This window comes from Homo sapiens, chromosome 19 (assembly GCF_000001405.40).
Source record: "Homo sapiens chromosome 19, GRCh38.p14 Primary Assembly".
Taxonomy (NCBI): domain Eukaryota; kingdom Metazoa; phylum Chordata; class Mammalia; order Primates; family Hominidae; genus Homo; species Homo sapiens.
Genome location: NC_000019.10, coordinates 48553556 through 48570128, shown reverse-complemented (window position 1 = coordinate 48570128; position 16573 = coordinate 48553556). Strand labels below are relative to the sequence as shown.

Here is a 16573-nt window from a genome sequence, read left to right as displayed (position 1 = left end):
ACTGAGTGAAAGAGCCAGACTTGGAAGGTAAACTCTGTGTAATTCCATCTCTGTGACTGTGGTTGGCCAAATCACAGCCTCCAATGATGTTGTCGTCCTAATCCTTGAAATCTGAGACTGTGTTCCACAAATGGCCAAACGGACTTTGCAGATGTGATTAACAATCTTGACGAGGTGGCTCATGCCTCTAATCCCAGCACTTTAGGAAGCCGAGACAGGTGGATCACTTGACATCAGGAGTTTGAGACCAGCCTCGGCAACATGGCGAAACCCCATCTCTACTAAAAATACAAAATTAGCCAGGCGTGGTGGCGCATGCTTATAATCCCAGCTACTCAGGAGCCTGAGGCAGGAGAATCACTTTAACCTGGGAGGCGGAGGTCATGGTGAGCTGGGATCATGTCACTGCACTCCAGCCTGGGTGACAGAGTGAGTCTGTGTCTCAGAACAAAAAACCAATCTTGAGGCCAGGCATGGTGGCTCATGCCTGTAATCCCAACACTTTGGGAGGCCTAGATGGGAGGACTGCTTGAGGCCAGGAGTTCAAGACCAGCCTGGGCTACACAGAGTGAGAACCCAATCTCTTTAAAAAATAAGAAAAAAAAGAAAGAAAACTCCTGGGCTCAAGCGATCCTCCCACCTCAGCCTCCTAAAGTGCTGGGATTACAGATAGATGTCACTGAATCCAGTGAGTTACAATTTTAGATAAAAATTTATCTAAAATTTATCATATATATATATATATATATATATATATATATATATGTTTTTTTTTTTTTTTTTTTTTGAGACGGAGTCTCTCTCTGTCGCCCAGGCTGGAGTGCAGTGGCGCGATCTTGGCTCACTGCAAGCTCCGCCTCCTGGATTCACGCCATTCTGCTGCCTCAGCCTCCTGAGTAGCTGGGACTACAGGCGCCCGCCACCACGCCCTGCTAATTTTTTGTATTTTTAGTAGAGACAGGGTTTCACCATGTTACCCAGGATGGTCTCGATCTCCTGACCTTGTGATCTGCCTGCCTCAGCCTCCTAAAGTGCTGGGATTACAGGCGTGAGCCACCACGCCCAGCCTAAAATTTATCTAACATTTAATCTAAAATTTGTCATTTATCTAAATGCTAAATGCTGCTAGAACGGTGGCGTCAGGGAGGCCCCTCTGGGAACTCGACATCTGAGCAAAGACTGAAGGTAGCGAGAGAGGGAGCGGTGTGTGGGGACCAGAAGGAAGAGTGAGCGCAAAGAAGTGAGTGGTGGGCTGCTGGGATTCTGGGGCCTGAGTGGGACTGGAGCTGGGGGGCCCTGAGCGGCCCACCCTTCCAGGAATGCGATCGGACAGCAGGAGGGATTTCTCAGCAGCCCTGGCGGTGCCGCTGACTCACTGCCAGCGTCTGTGATCAACTCGCCTTTGGAGAGAGAGCATTGCCAAGACTCCCCCACCACCAGCCTGAGCTGGGTTCAATGCGCTTCACTCCCAGGACGCGCCAAGCAGTGTCCCGGCGCCCTGCCCTGCCTCTGTCCGGGCTGTTCTCCCCGCCAGGCTCTCCCTCACTTGGAGCCCATCTGGGCAGGCGTCCCCAGCTCAACCTCTCAGCAGGATGACTCACCCTTGGCCGTGGCGCAGAGATACTCTCTTGGCAGGAGTGTGACTGGCATAACCTCTTAGGGAGATCGTTTGGGAACATTTACAGGATTCAAGGCCAGCTCCTTCTCTGTCTTCAGGGCTTGGGTCTTCCCTGACCACCTTGGCTAAAGCAAGAGACCTCCCACCCCGTGCACATTACTGCCCATCTCCGCATCCTGCTGGCCTCCTTTGCGGCCCTTTTTAATACTTTTTTTTTTTTTTTTTGAGATGGAGTCTCACTCTGTTGCACAGGCTGGAATGCAGTGGCTTGATCTTGGCTCACTGCACCCTCGACCTCCACCCTCCGGCTCCTGGGCTCAAACGATCCTCCCACCTCAGTTTCCCCAGTAGCTGGGACTACAGGTGTGTGCCACCACACTCAGCTAATTCTTAAATTTTTTGTAGAGACAGGGGTCTCGCTATGTTGCCCAGACTGGTCTTGAACTCCTGGGCTCGTGGGATTCTCCTGCCTTGGCCTCCCAAAGTGCTGGGATTACAGGCATAAGCCACCGTGCCCTGCTTATTTTTATTTTTTGGATACAGGGCCTTGCTCTGTTGCTCAGGCTGGAGTGCAGTGATGCGGTCACAGCTTACTGCAGCCTCAGTCTCCTAGGCTCAAGTGATTTTCCTGCCTCAGCCTAGCCTCCTGAGTAGCTGGGACTACAGGCATACACCACCACACCTGGCTAATGTTTACATTTTTTGTAGAGATAGAGTCTCACCACATTGCTCAGGTTGGTCTTGAACTCCTCAGCTCAAGCGACCCTCCCACTTCAGCCTCCCAGAGTGCTGGGGTTACAGGCGTGAGCCACCGCACCTGGTCTGTTGCCTTCTTTAAATCTGCCTTCCTCACTAGCAGGAGAGCTGGGAAGTGGCAGAATTTTTCCCTGTGCTATGTCCTTCCTACCTTCAAAGCCAATGTCCGACACACGGGTAACACTGTGTTCTTTTTTTGTTGTTGTTGAGACAGAGTCTCGCTCTGTCGCCCAGGCATGATCTTAGTTCACTGCAACCTCTGCCTTCTGGGTTCAAGCGATTCTCCTGCCTCAGACTCCTGAGTAGCTGAGATTACAGGCGTGCACCACCACGCCTGGCTAATTTTTGTATTTTTAGTAGAGACGGGATTTCTCCATGTTGGTCAGGCTGGTCTCAAACTCCTGACCTCGTGATCTGCCCGCCTCAGCCTCCCAAAGTGCTGGGATTACAAGTGTGAGCCACCGTGCCTGGTTAAATACTGTGTTCTATTTGCCAGATCCCCGAATGAACCTGACCCCCTAGAAACATAAGGAATAGACAGATGCCCTTGAGGAAGCGCGCAGTGAAATATATCCCAGGGCGATCATGGCAATGATGTTCCAAGAGAGGCCAGAAACAACAGGGGACGGGGTAAATGAGTCTGGACCTGGAAAAACGCTGGAATTCAGCCACTCAAAAGGAGTTTACATCTTGACAGGGACTTGGGTTATACATGCATCTCTGCATCTCTCCCTCTCCCTCTCTTTTTTTTTAAAACAGAGTCTTGCTCTATCGCCCAGGTTGGAGTGCAGTGACACAATCACGGCTCACTGCAACTAGCACCTCCCAGGTTCAAGTGATTCTCATGTCTCAACTTCCCAAGAAGCTGGGATTACAGGTGTGTGCCAACACGTCCCTCTAATTTTTTTTTTTTTTGACAGAGTCTCACTGTGTCACCAAAGCCGGAGTGCAGTGACACAATTTTGGCTCACTGCAACCTCTGCCTCCCGGGTTCAAGTGATTCTCCCATCTCAGCCTCCTGACTAGCTGGGATTACAGGAGCACACTGCCACGCCCAGCTAATTTTTTATATTTTAGTAAAAACGGGGTTTTACCATGTTGCCCAGGCTGGTCTGGAACTCCCGAGCTCAAGCAATCCACCCGCCTCAGTCTCCCAAAATGCTAGAATTACAGGTGTGAGCCACCACGCCTGGCACATCCCTCGAATTTTTGTATTTTTAGTAATGATGGGGTTTTGCCATTTTGGCCAGGATGGTCTCGAACTCCTGGCCTCAAGCAACCCACCAGCCTTGGCCTCCCAAAGTGCTGGCTTTACAGGCATGAGCCATTGTGCCCAGCCGTACATATATTTCTCAAAATGAGCACACTTTAGCCTGGGTGCGGTGGCTCGTGCCTGTGATCCCAGCATTTTGGGAGCCCAAATCCTCCCAAAATGGGAAGCAAAGTGGGAAGATCACTTGAGCCTAGGAGTTTGAGACCAGCCTAGACAACATAGTGAGACTCCGTCTCTACAAATAACAATAAAATATTTAGGCTAGGTGCGGTGGCTCACACCTGTAACCCAGCACTTTGGGAGGCCAAGGCAGGCAGATCACCAGGTCAGGAGTTCGACACCAGGAGTTTGAGACCAGCCTGGCCAACAGAGTGAAACCCCGTCTCTACTAAAAATACGAAAATAGCTGGGTGTGGTGGTGTGCGCCTGTAGTCCCAGCTACTTGGGAGGCTGAGGTGGGAGAATCACTTGAACCCAGGAGGCGGAGGTTGCAGTGAGCCAAGACCATGCCATTGCACTCCAGCCTGGGTAACAGAGTGAGACTCCGTCTAAAAAAAAAAAAAATAGCCTGGTGTGGTGGCATGTGCCTGTCTTCTCAGCTACTTGGGAGGCTGAGGTGGAAGGATTGCCTGAGCTGGGGAGGTCGAGGCTTCAGTGAACTGTGGTTGTACCACTTAGGTGACAGGGCAAGATCCTGTCTCAAAAACAAACAAACAAACAAACAAAAAACTAGCACACTTTAGATTTGTGTGGTTTACTGTAGGTAAACTTCTATTAAAACAAACAAACAAACAAAACCACTAGCTAGGTGCAGTGGCTCACATCTGTAATCTCAGCACTTTGGAAGGCCGAGGCAGGCAGATCACCAGAGGTCAGGAGTTTGAGACTAGCCTGGCCAACATGGTGAAACCCCATCTCTACTAAAAATACAAAAATTAGCCGGGCGTAGTGGTGCACACCTGTAATCCCAGCTACTCGGGAGGCTGAGGCAGGAGAATCGCTTGAATCTGGGAGGTGGAGGTTGCAGTGAGCCAAGATCTAGCCATTGCACTTCAGCCTAGGTGACAGAGGGAGATTCCATCTCTCTCTCTCTCCATCTCTCTGTCTCTCTCTCTCACACATACACACAAACACACACACACACACCCCCCCATAAACAAATACTGAAGTAGTTAATAATATGCAGCCTGGAATGTTTAGGGTGAAACATTCAGATGTCTGTAACTTACTTTGAAATGCATCAAAAGTAAGGATTAGGCCGGGCACCGTGACTCATGCCTGTAATCCCAGCTCTTTGGGAGGCCTACGGAGGCGGGTCATCTGAGGTCAGGTGTTTGAGACCAGCCCGTCTAACATGGCGAAACCCTGTCTCTACTAAAAAAAACAAAAATTAGGCTGGGCTCAGTGGCTTATTCCTGTAATCCCAGCACTTTGGGAGGCTGAGGCAGGTGTATCATCAGTCCAGGCATTCAAGACCAGCCTGACCAATATAGTGAAACACAATCTGTACTAAAAATACAAAAATTAGCCGGGCGTGGTGGCACGCACCTGTAGTCCCAGCTACTCGGGAGGCTGAGGCAGAAGAATCGCTTGAACCTGGGGGGCAGAGGTTGCAGTGAGCCAAGATCAAGCCATTGCACTGTAGCCTGGGCAACAGAGTGAAACCCCATCTCAAAACAACAACAACAACAAACCCAGAAGGATTGATAGATGGCTAGAGGGATGCAAAGATCTGTGATAAAACAAGTACTATATAATAAAATTTAAGTGTATCCTGAAAGGGACACTGTAAAAAAGAAAAAAATTTTAAAAATTTAAAAAACCCCAAATTTTAGTGGTGGTGGGCATAGGGGTGTTCATGGGGTAATCTTTCCATTGTTCTTGTAAGTTCCTCTTTTTTTCTTTCTTTTTTTTTTTTTTTTTTTTTTTTGAGACGGAGTCTCGCTCTGTTGCCCAGGCTGGAGTGCAGTGGTGTGATCTCGGCTCACTGCAACCTTGCCTCCTGGGTTCAAGCGATTCTCCTTCCTCAGCCTCCCAAGTAGCTGGGACTACAGGCACCTGCCACCACGCCCAGCTAATTTTTTGTATTTTTAGTAGAGACAGGGTTTCACCGTGTTAGCCAGGCTGGTCTCGATCTTTGGACCTCGTGATCCGCCCGCCTCGGCCTCCCAAAGTGCTGGGGTTTCAGGCGTGAGCCACTGCACCCGACCTATTTTTTATTGTTATTTTTATTTTTTGAGACAGAGTCTTGCTCTGTCGCCAGGCTGGAGTGCAGTGGTGCTATCTCGGCTCACTGCAACCTCCACCTCCTGGGTTCAAGCGATTCCCCTGCCTCAGCCTCCCAAGTAGCTGGAACTTCAGGCACCTGCCACCACGCTTGGCTCATTTTTTGTGTGTATTTTAGTAGAGATGGGGATTCACCATGTTGGCCAGGATGGTCTCGATCTCCTGACTTCGTGATCAACCCACCTCAGCCCAGTCTTCTTCTTCTTCTTCCTCTTCTTTTGTTTTTTTTTTTTTTTGAGAGGAAGTCTCTGTTGCCCAGGCTGGAGTTCAATGGCATCAACTTGGCTCACTGCAACCTTGCCTCCCATGTTCAAACGATTCTCCTGCCTCAGCCTCCCGAGTAGCTGGGATTACAGGCATGTGCCAACACGCCCAGCTAATTTTTGTATTTTTAGTAGAGATGCGGTTTCGCCATGTTGGTCAGGCTGGTCTTGAACTCCTGGCCTCAAGTGATCCACCCACCTCGGCCTCCCAAAGTGCTGGGATTACAAGTGTGAGCCACGGTGCCTGCGCCCCAGCCTGCATCTTGTCTCAATCAGTCCCTGCCCTGTCCCCAGAGGCCACCCCTCTACGTCCCCCACCGTACAGATTGCATCAGCCCAGTCTTGCATGTTCTGGAACTGTCATCTTACACAAGAGGTTCTTTGGTGTTTTGGTTGTTTTTGCCTAGCATAATGTTTCTGACATTTTCCGTGTCTGTGTATACATTAGAGCTTGTTCCCATTTGCGGCTGAGTAGAATTCCACTGCATAAATAAATTCACAATGTGTTGATCCAGTCCTCTGTTAATGGACACCTCGGCGGTTTCCAGGTCAGGCTATTACTCCCAAAGCTGCCACAGTTGTTCCTGTCTTTGTGGGAACCGGCGTTCTCATTTCTCTTGGGCAAATAACTAGGAACAGAATTGCTAGGTCACAGAGTGGATATCATATGATTTGCATTGTAGTAGCTGTAAAGTAGGTTTTAAGATCCGATAGGAGGCTGGGTGCGGTGGCTCAGTCCCCTGTAATCCTACCACTTTGGGAAGCCAAGGCGGGAGAATGGCTTGAGCCCGGGAGTTCAAAATCAGCTTGGGCAACATAGCAAGACCCTGTCTCCACAAAAAATCTATTTTAATAAAATTTTATATTTTAAAAAAAGATCTGATAGGGAAAGTTCCCGCTTAACTTTTTTTTTTCTTGCCAATTCCTGCACACTTTAAGTCTATATAAATATCAGCTGGTCATGGTGGCTCACGCCTGTAATCCCAGCACTTTGGGAGGCCAAGGCAGGCGGATCACTTAAGGTTGGGAGTTCAAGACAAGCCTGACCAACATGGTGAAACCCCATCTCTACTAAAAATACAAAAATTAGCTGGGTATGGTGGTACATGCCTGTAATCCCAGCTACTTGGGAGGCTGAGGCAAGAGAATTGCCTGAACCTGGGAGGCAGTGGTTGCAATGAGCTGAGATCGCGCCACTGCACTCTGGATTGGGTGAGGAAGTGAGACTCTGTCTCAAAAAATAAATAAATAAATAAAGTCTATATAAATATTGCATATATCCTCAAAACAAGTAAAACTATGATCTATAAATAAAATAATAATAATAAAAATCCATATAAACATGCATATGATTTTTTATTTCTATTTATGTATTTATTTTGAGACATAGTCTCACTCCTTCACCCAGGCTGCAGTACAATGGTGTGATCTCGGCTCACTGCAACCCCTACCTCCCGGGGTTCAAGCAATTCTCCTGCCTCACCCTCCCCAGTAGCTGGGATTACAGGTGTACACCACCACGCTTTGCTAATTTTTTTTTTTTTTTGAGACAGAGTTTCGCTCTTGTTGCCCAGGCTGGAGTGCAATGGCCATCTCAGCTCACTGCAACCTCCACCTCCAGGGTTCAAGTGATTCTTCTGCCTCAGCCACCCGAGTAGCTGGGATTACAGGCATGTGCCACCACGCCTGGCTAATTTTTTGTATTTTTAGTAGAAACGGGGTTTTACCATGTTAGCCAGGCTGGCCTTGAACTCCTAACCTCAGGTGATCCGCCCGCCTCAGCCTCCCAAAGTGTTGGGATTACAGGCATAAGCCACCACACCTGACCTAATTTTTGTATTTTTAGTAGAGACAGGGTTTCGCCATGTTGGTCAGGCTGATCTCAAAACTCCTGATCTCAAGTGATCCTCCTGCCTTGGCCTCCCAAAGTTCTGGGATTGCAGGCGTGAGCAATGAGCCCGGCTAATTATTGTGTTTTTAGTAGACATGGGGTTTTTGCCATGTTGACCAGGCTGGTCTTGAACTCCCGACCTCAGGTGATCCACCTGCCTCAGCCTCCCAAAGTGCTGTGATTACAGGCATGAGCCACTGCACCCAGCCAAGGCCCATTTTGGAGAAGAGGGGAGTGGGGCTCTGGGATGTAGAGCATCTCACCCACATCTGCCTGATGGGGAACACACGTTAGGTTCGAGGTCCCTGGCTCTGTCCCTTGAAGCCTGACAGTCTCACCGCAGGCCCTGCCCATCCGAGTCCCACTGTAGCTGGGCTGCCAGTGTTCCGTTCTCACTGTCCAGTTTGGCTTGTTCCCTGAATGTCGCATGCTCCACTACACCGTGGAACCGCACCCTGCACGACGCCTGTCGCCTGGGGCTCTTCACTTTTTTTCTCTCCTCCTTTCTCTCAAACACCTCCTCTCTCTCTCCCTTCCAGCATACCTTTATTATTTATTTATTTTATCTTAATTAATTTATTTATTTTATCTATCTATTTATTTATTTATTTTGAGACAGTGTTTCACTCTTGTTGCCCAGGCTGGAGTGCAATGGCACGATCTCGGCTCACTGCAACCTCTGCCTCCCGGGTTCAAGCGAGTCTCCTGCCTCAGCCTCGCAGAGTAGCTGGGATTACAGGCATGTGCCACCACGACCAGCTACTCTTCTATTTTTAGTAGGACGGGGTTTCTCCATGTTGGTCAGGCTGGTCTGGAACTCCCCACCTCAGGTGATCCGCCTGTCTCGGCCTCCCAAAATGCTGGGATTACAGGCATGAGCCACCACACCGGGCCCGAATTTATTTTTTTGAGACAAGATCTTGCTCTGTCTCCCAGGCTGGAGTGCAGTGGTGCGATCTCAGCCCCACAGCAACCTCCGTCTCCTGGGTTCAAACAATCCTCCTGCCTCAGCCTCCCGAGTAGCTGGGATTACGGGCGCCCACCACCACACCTGGCTAATTTTTATTTTTTTTATTTTTGAGACGGAGTTTTGCTCTTGTTGCCCAGGCTGGAGTGCAATGGCAGGATCTTAGCTCACTGCAGCCTCTGCCTCCCGGGTTCAAATGATAGGCCCACCTCGGCCTCCCAAAGTGCTGGGATTACAGATGTGAGCCACCACGGCTGTCCTAATTTCTGTATATTTACTAGAGATGGGGTTTCACCATGTTGGCCAGGCTGGTCTCGAACTCCTGACCTCAAGGGATCCACACGTCTCGGCTTCCCAAAGTGCTGGGATTATAGGCATGAGCCACCACGCCCAGCCTCATTGACAGTTTTTGAAATTGACTATATGTGGAAATGATATTTCAGATAGATTAGATATGTGATTAAAATTAATTTCACTTGTTTCTTTTGTTTTTTTAAAAAGGTGGCTACGAGAAAATGTTTTCCTATGGGCTCACGGTATATATCTATGGAGGGTGGCCAGGGTCATGGAAACCATAAGGGTGACAAGTCCCCCCGAGAAGAAATGGCCACTGAGGGGCAGCCTCTGACTGCAGTTCCAAGCCCCTGTTGGATTCCTTTCTCTGGCATGAGGGTTATGAGTGGGGCCTCAGTTTTCCCATCTGTAAAATGGGCATTGTAACACTGGGACCACACAGGGCTGTTGTGAAGACTCAGTGAGCTCATCCCCACACAGCCTTCAGCACAGGGCCTGGCTCAGGGCAGATGCTCAGGAAGCTCATCATTATTATCATTCCTCACCCATCCCCTCCCTTGCTAGCATTCGAGTTTCTGGCTCAGCAGCGGTCTCAGAACTGGGGAAGGAGGAAAGAGAGAAACAGCACAAATGCTGAGTCAGCTGCGAGCCCAGGTCAGGCCCTTCCCCGGTCATTGCCCGTTTCACAGACGCTCAACCCTGAGGGCAGTCCTTTCTACCAGGAGGGTCCCAGCTCCTGAGCCATAGGGGCGGCATTCGAACCCAGGACTGCCTTCCTGTGGGCATTCTTCTTTTCTTTTTAATTTTTTTTTTTTTTTTTTAAAGAGAGATGAGGGTTTGCTATGTTGCCCAGGCTGGTCTTGAACTCCTGGCCTCAAGCAATCCTCCTGCCTTGCCCTCCCAAAGTGTTGGGATTACAGGCGTGAGCTGTGGCACCTGGCCCCTGCAGGCTTTCTTGCCTGCGGTGTCACGGTCCCCACTTTCCCAGATCCTTGGGGCTCTGGTCCCCACGTAAGTAACTGGCCACACCTCTCTTAGGGCCTCCACTCCAGGCCTCCGGGCAAGGCGAGGGTCTCCCTTCTCAGCCTGGCATTTATTCCATGTCATGGGTGACCCACTGGGTCCCACAGTTCCTCCTCCAGACCCTCTGGGTGGCAAACTGGGCTGCTTAGTTCTTTCCAAATGGGTCCTGAACTCAGCTGGCCAGCATGGCGAAACCCTGTCTTTATCAAAAATACAAAAATTAGCTAGGCATGGTGGCACATGCCTGTAATCCCAGCTACTTGGGAAGCTGAGGCAGGAGAATCGCTTGAACCCAGGAGGCGGAGGTTGCAGTGAGCTAAAATCACGCCACTGCTCTCCAGCCTGGGCGACAGAGCAAGACTCTGTCTCCAAAACAAAACAAAACAAAACAAAACAAAACAAAACAAAAAACAAAACCAAATGGGTCCTGAACTCTGAACATCACCACTTCCAACCTTTCCTCTGCCAGTCCGTACACAGGCCCACCAGGCACAACTGCCTCCCCCCACCCCAAAGAGCGAGTGGAAAGGAAAACGCATCCTGTCCCTCACTCTTCAAGGCTGAGTCCCTCGTCAGGGGCTGGGTGGAGAAGGAGGGAACCGTGAGCATCTTTTTCCACTTCTCCCCAAGTCCCCGCATCCGCTAGTGCTGGCCCCGAAGCCCCTCTCCCTAGTCTGCCTGCCCAAATCTCACCCAGCGGGGAGGCAATGCCTTATTATTTCTTAATTGTTTGAAACCCCTTGATCAGCCCGTCTCAGAAAAAGCAGCTTCAGGCCAGTCGCGGTGGCTCACACCTGTAATCCCAGCACTTTGGGAGGACGAGGCGGGTGGATCATCCGAGGTCAGGAGTTTGAGACAAGCCTGACCTATATGGTGAAACCCTGTCTCAACTAAAAATACAAAAATTTAGCCAGGCGTGGTGGCGCACGCCTGTAGTCCCAGCTACTCAGGAGGCTGAGGCAGGAGAATCGCTTGAACCCCGGAGGCGGCTGTTGCAGTCAGCCGAGATGGTGCCACTGCACTCCAGCCTGGGCAACCAGAGTGAAACTCTGTCTCAAAAAAAAAAAAAAAAAAAAAAGAAAAGAAAAGAAAAAAGAAAAAGCAGCCTCATGACTGGCAGGGCTTTGGCCATAAAATCATTCATGTGGCTCAGCCCTCCCTAAGGAAGGTGGGGCCGGGGTTGTAAAACCAGAGCTGGCCCCTCCTCGCCCTCCCCGTCAATAAGAGGCAGAGATCAGAAGGTGCCGGCGCCAGGGACTCCCGAGATCAGAGCGCGGGGAGGAGCGGCCACCGCAGCTCTCCTTGGCTGCCCGAGGCGCCCCAGGTCCAAAGGCCGGCGTGGCTTCTCTGGCCTTGACACTCTCCGTAGCCCAGCACGCAGGGAATGCAAGGAAACGCCTGGAACCGCAGAGCGCCTGCTAACGCCTCCTGTCTGGGCTGAGTCTCCCTCCCGGATCTCGCTCCTTCCGGGTCTTGCTCATCCCCAAGTTCCCCATCCAGGGCGTGATACAGTCAGGCTTCCCTGGTTCAAATCCTGGCTACGCCCTGCTTGGCAGCTGTGTGACCCTGGGCAAGTCACTCAACCTCTCTGGGCCTCACCTCTTACAGGGGATGATAGTAGTTAAAATGGGTTAATCTCCGACGGCTGTAAGGATTAGATGAGGTAATACAGACAGCACTCAACAGGTTGAGAACAACTGCAAGGATGTTACAGGGATTATAACATCCTGGGCTTGTCAGCCTACTGGGTCAGCAGCCCATCCTGCCTACCGCCTGTGCCAAATGTTTTCCTCTTACGATTTTATTTTTTTTAATTTTTTTAATTTTAATTATTTTTTGAGACAGAGTTTCACTCTTGTTGCCCAGGCTGGAGTGTAATGACACGATCTCGACTCACCGCAACCTCCGCCTCCTGGGTTCAAGCGATTCTCCTGCCTCAACCTCCCGAGTAGCTGGGATTACAGGCATGCACCACCATGCCCGGCTGACTTTTTTCTATTTTTAGTAGAGACGGGGTTTCTCCATGTTGGTCAGCCTGGTCTCCAACTATCGACCTCAGGTGATCCGCCCACCTCGGCCTCCCAAAGTTCTGGGATTACAGGCGTGAGCCACCGTGCCCGGCCTCTTACGATTTTAATTTAGCCCTTATTATCCTTTTAAGTCCTTTTTACATACAAGACCACATGGAACACATATTAAATTTCTTTTTTCTTTTTTTGAGATGGAGTTTCAATCTTGTCACCCAAGCTGGTGTGCAGTATGCGATCTCAGCTCACTGCAACCTCCGCCTCCTGGGTTCAAGCAACTCTCCTGCCTCAGCCTCTCCAGTAGCTGGGACTACAGGCAAGTGCCACCACGCCTGGCAAATTTTTGTGTTTTTAGTAGAGACGGGGTTTTACCATGTTGGCCAGGCTGGTCTTGAACTCCTGACCTCAAGTGATCCGCCCACTTCAGCCTCCCAAAGTGCTGGGATTACAGGCATGAGCCACAGAGCCCGATCTCACATATTAAATTTCTCATAATTCATAATGAACCCCATAAACTAGAACATTCTGAGCGATGCATCTTGCTGATATCTCTGGGCCCCTTCCTGTGGCATCTACCCGTCCCTTGAGCTGCTATCCTGAATTAAATTCTGGTCAATTCCTTGTTTGGTTTTTATTTTATTTTTTTAGAGACGGGGTCTTGCTGTGTTGTCCAGTCTGGTCTTGAACTCCTGGCCTCAAATGATACTCCTGCCTTGGCCTCCCAAAGTACTGCAATGGACAGGAGCCACCATGCCTGGCCTAGGACAACTTTTTTTTTTTTGAGACAGAGTCTTGTTCTGTTGCCCAGGCTGGAGTACAGTGGCAGGATCTCAGGTCACTGCAACTTCCGCCTCCTGGGTTCAAGCGATTCTCCTGCCTTAACCTCCTGAGTAGCTGAGATTACAGGTGTGTGGCACAACTCTGGCTAATTTTTTTATTTTTAGTACAGATGGGGTGTCACCATGTTGGCCAGGCTGGTCTTGAACTCCTGACCTCAAGGGATCCACCTGCCTCGGCCTCCCAAACTGCTGGGATTACAGGTGTGAGCCACTGAGCTGGCAACTTTTTTTTTTTTTTTAAATCACATATGCGTGTATTCTGAAAACAATAGTTTCTCTCCCTGGAGGTGCTTAAAAAACGAACCATTTGAGAGCCACTCAGGTCTGCTGCAGGATGGCCCACCACGGGGAGTTTCCACGGCAGCTGGCCCTCTCCTGACCCAGCTGCCCCTTACTCTCCTGAAGCCACCTGTGTCCCTGTGCCCCAACCATTCCCTTTCCCAGCACTCCCTGCCCCTCCTCCCCGTCTGCTAACCCTGACTCATCCTGGAAGCTCCGGCTCAGAGGTTGCTTAATGGAGCCTCCATTCATTCATTCATTCTTGACGTCCTTTTCACAGATTTCCTACATTCATTTCCTATCCACGAACAGGCCAATATTTTGGTGCCACGGGGCAGATTTGAAGCTAGACCAGCGTGATCAGGGACCTGGGACCTGGCGTGGGTGTCTGCCTGCATTCTCTCATTCCCCTGGCCAAAAATCCTAAATTGCCCGTGTTGAATCTTAACGCCTGAGAAGTTTGGCAAAGGAAGGAGAGAGGGCAGAGGTCAGCCCAGGCAAAGGACACTGCGCTGGTGCACGCAAAGTCCCGAAAGTGGCGAAACCCTTTCTCTACTAAAGATACAAAAATTAGGCCGGGCGCGGTGGCTCACACCTGTAATCCCAGCACTTTGGGAGGCCGAGGTGGGCACATCACCTGAGGTCAGGAGTTCAAGACCAGCCTGGCCAACATGGTGAAACCCCGTTTCTACTAAAATACAAAAAATTAGCCGGGCATGGTAGAGTGTGCCTGTAATCCCAGCTACTCAGGAGGCTGAGGCAGAAGAATCGCTTGAACCTGGGAGGCGGAGGTTGCAATGAGCCAAGTTCGCATCACTGCACTCCAGCCTGGGTGACAGAGCAAGACTCCATCTCCAAAAAAAAACAAAAATTAGCTGGGTGTGGTGGCGCATGCCTGTAATCCCAGCTACTCTGGAGGCTGAGGCAAGAGAATCACTTGAATCCAGAAGGCAGAGATTGCAGTGAGCCGAGATTGTGCCACTGCACTCCAGTGTGAGCCACAGAGCAAGGCTCTGTCTCAAAAGAGAGAGAGAGAGAGAGAGAGAGAGAGAGAGAGAGAGAGGATGTCTCTGGGATCCCTATGCAAGGAGCCAGATAAGCAAAGAGAGAGAGAGAGAGAGAGAAGATGTCTCTGGGATCCCTATGGAAGGAGCCAGATAAGCAAAGGCACTGTGGCAGGGAACAAGCGTGGCCAGGGAATTCAAAGTAATAGAGTAGATAGGCCGGGCACGGTGGCTCACGCCTGTAAGCCCTGCACTTTGGGAGACCAAGGCGGGTGGATCACCTGAGGTCAGGAGTTCGAGAACAGCCTGGCCAACATGGTGAAATCCTGTCTCAACTAAAAATATAAAAATTAGCCAGGCATGGTGGCGGGTGCCTGTAATCCCAGCTACTTGGGAGGCTGAGGCAGGAGAATCGCTTGAACCTGGGAGGCCGAGGTTGTAGTGAGCCGAGATCGTGCCACTGCACTCCAGCGTGGGCGACAGAGTGAGACTCCGTCTCAAAAAAATAATAGTAATAATATTAACTGGGCGCAGTGGCACGCGCCTGTCATCCCAGCTACTCGGAGGCTAGAACCTCAGAGCGCCCGCTTCACCTCCCATCTGGGCTGAGTCTACCTCCTGGATCTCGCTCCTTCCTGGTCTTGCTCATCATCCCTAAATTCCCTGTCCAGGGCATGATAACAGTCAGGCTTCCCTGGTTCAAATCCTGGCCGTGCCCTGCTTGGCAGCTGTGTGACCCTAGGCAAGTTACTCAACCTCTCTGGGCCTCATCTCTGACACAGGATGACAGCAGTCAAAGTGGGTTCATCTCAGATGGCTGTGAGGATTAGATGAGGTAATACACCTGAACCTGGGAGGCGGAGGTTGCAGTGAGCCGAGATCGTTCCACTGTGCTCCAGCCTGGGTGACAGAGCCAGATTCAGTCTCAAAAAAAAAAAAAAAAAAAAAAAAAAAGCAGTAGAGTAGCTGGAATGCAGGTGAGGAGGCTGGGGGGGCGGGGTGGGTGAGGGCTGGGCGCTGAGGAATTCACTGGATGGCTGGGAGGAGGGGAGGAGCAGCCTGGGACAGCCAAGGCTGGAGTGGTGAGGTTGGGGGGAGATGAGGAGGCCTGAGCTGGGGCTGTGGCAACCGAGAGGAAGAACCAGGGCAGAGAGTCAGGGGACAGGGGTGGGGGTTGGGGACTGACAGGCTGGGGGCGAGCAGAGGGGGAAGTCGGGGCCAGGAGAAGCCCTGTGGATCTGAGCCAGTGATGGGGAGGGGACATCCCTGAGATGGGCAACCTGGGAGGAGGTGCGAATCTGGGGGGGTACGTGGCGTATCTGAGGGGGTCTGGGAGGGGCACATCCCGAAGGAAGTGGGCCCCAGGGGGATGCTCCAGCAGGCTCGCTGGGGAGAGGCACGCTTCCAGGCCTGGGGGATTCCAGAAGTGCCTGGAAGTTTGAGGTCCTAAGGGCACCCCCCCAGGGCTCTGCAGCCATCAGGGCTGGAGGAGTCTTGCAGGGGAGGGCTATTCTCCCCCACGATGACGAAACCGAGCTTCGCAGAGGGTCAGTGACTAAACCAAGGTCACCCACTTAGCGAGGTCACTCAGGGCGTTTTATGACCAGCTGGCAGAGCCGTCGCGGAGATAAAAAAAAGGCTCCCAGGTGCCTGGCTGGGGTGGGGGTGAGGCCTTCCCAGAGGCGGGAACCCTGGAGGCGAGCTGGCTTATCTGTTTATCTCTGGAGAGAAGAATTGCAGAACTCAGAAGTCCTGGATTAGACAATGTTGAGTAAAGAATGCTGGGGCCTCCCTCACGCAGAACTGGGCCAGCCTGGTCACAGCTCTCAGCCCAGGAGGCCCAGAGACATCAGGAAGCTTGTCTAGGTCACACAGCAATCAGGATTGAACTGCTCCTGTCTCTGGAGTCCCAGGCACCCAGGAAGGCCTCTTCATGCCCCAGCTTCTGGCTGAGGGAGGGGAGGGGAGGGCCTGAAACAGTGGAATGAAATGAGGCGGCCAGGCGTGGTGGCCCACGCCTGTAATCCCAGCACTTTGGGAGGCCGAGGCAGGT

At 51.2% G+C, this 16573-nt stretch overlaps 1 protein-coding gene across 1 annotated transcript in view, besides 5 other annotated features; it reads right to left on the bottom strand.

The window, feature by feature from the left end:
- The window catches only part of SULT2B1 (sulfotransferase family 2B member 1), a 47256-nt gene that overhangs the window by 29299 nt on the left and 1384 nt on the right, over window positions 1-16573 (bottom strand). The gene's annotated exons all lie outside the window — the stretch shown is intronic.
- Window positions 6423-6717: an enhancer, noted in NCBI's record as "tiled region #12364; HepG2 Activating DNase unmatched - State 5:Enh, and K562 Activating DNase matched - State 5:Enh". NCBI's record gives its function as "activates a minimal TATA promoter and a strong SV40 promoter by Sharpr-MPRA in HepG2 and K562 cells {active_cell/tissue: HepG2 | K562}" and the evidence as "EXISTENCE:reporter gene assay evidence [ECO:0000049][PMID:27701403]".
- Window positions 6423-6737: a biological region, named in NCBI's record as "Sharpr-MPRA regulatory regions 10218 and 12364".
- Window positions 6443-6737: an enhancer, noted in NCBI's record as "tiled region #10218; HepG2 Activating DNase matched - State 5:Enh, and K562 Activating DNase unmatched - State 5:Enh". NCBI's record gives its function as "activates a minimal TATA promoter and a strong SV40 promoter by Sharpr-MPRA in HepG2 and K562 cells {active_cell/tissue: HepG2 | K562}" and the evidence as "EXISTENCE:reporter gene assay evidence [ECO:0000049][PMID:27701403]".
- Window positions 15286-16224: an enhancer, noted in NCBI's record as "H3K27ac-H3K4me1 hESC enhancer chr19:49057162-49058100 (GRCh37/hg19 assembly coordinates)". NCBI's record gives its function as "activates a minimal SCP1, AML or CMV promoter by ChIP-STARR-seq in primed H9 embryonic stem cells {active_cell/tissue: H9 hESC(primed)}" and the evidence as "EXISTENCE:reporter gene assay evidence [ECO:0000049][PMID:30033119]".
- Window positions 15803-16097: a silencer, noted in NCBI's record as "tiled region #788; HepG2 Repressive non-DNase unmatched - State 4:PromP". NCBI's record gives its function as "represses a minimal TATA promoter and a strong SV40 promoter by Sharpr-MPRA in HepG2 cells {active_cell/tissue: HepG2}" and the evidence as "EXISTENCE:reporter gene assay evidence [ECO:0000049][PMID:27701403]".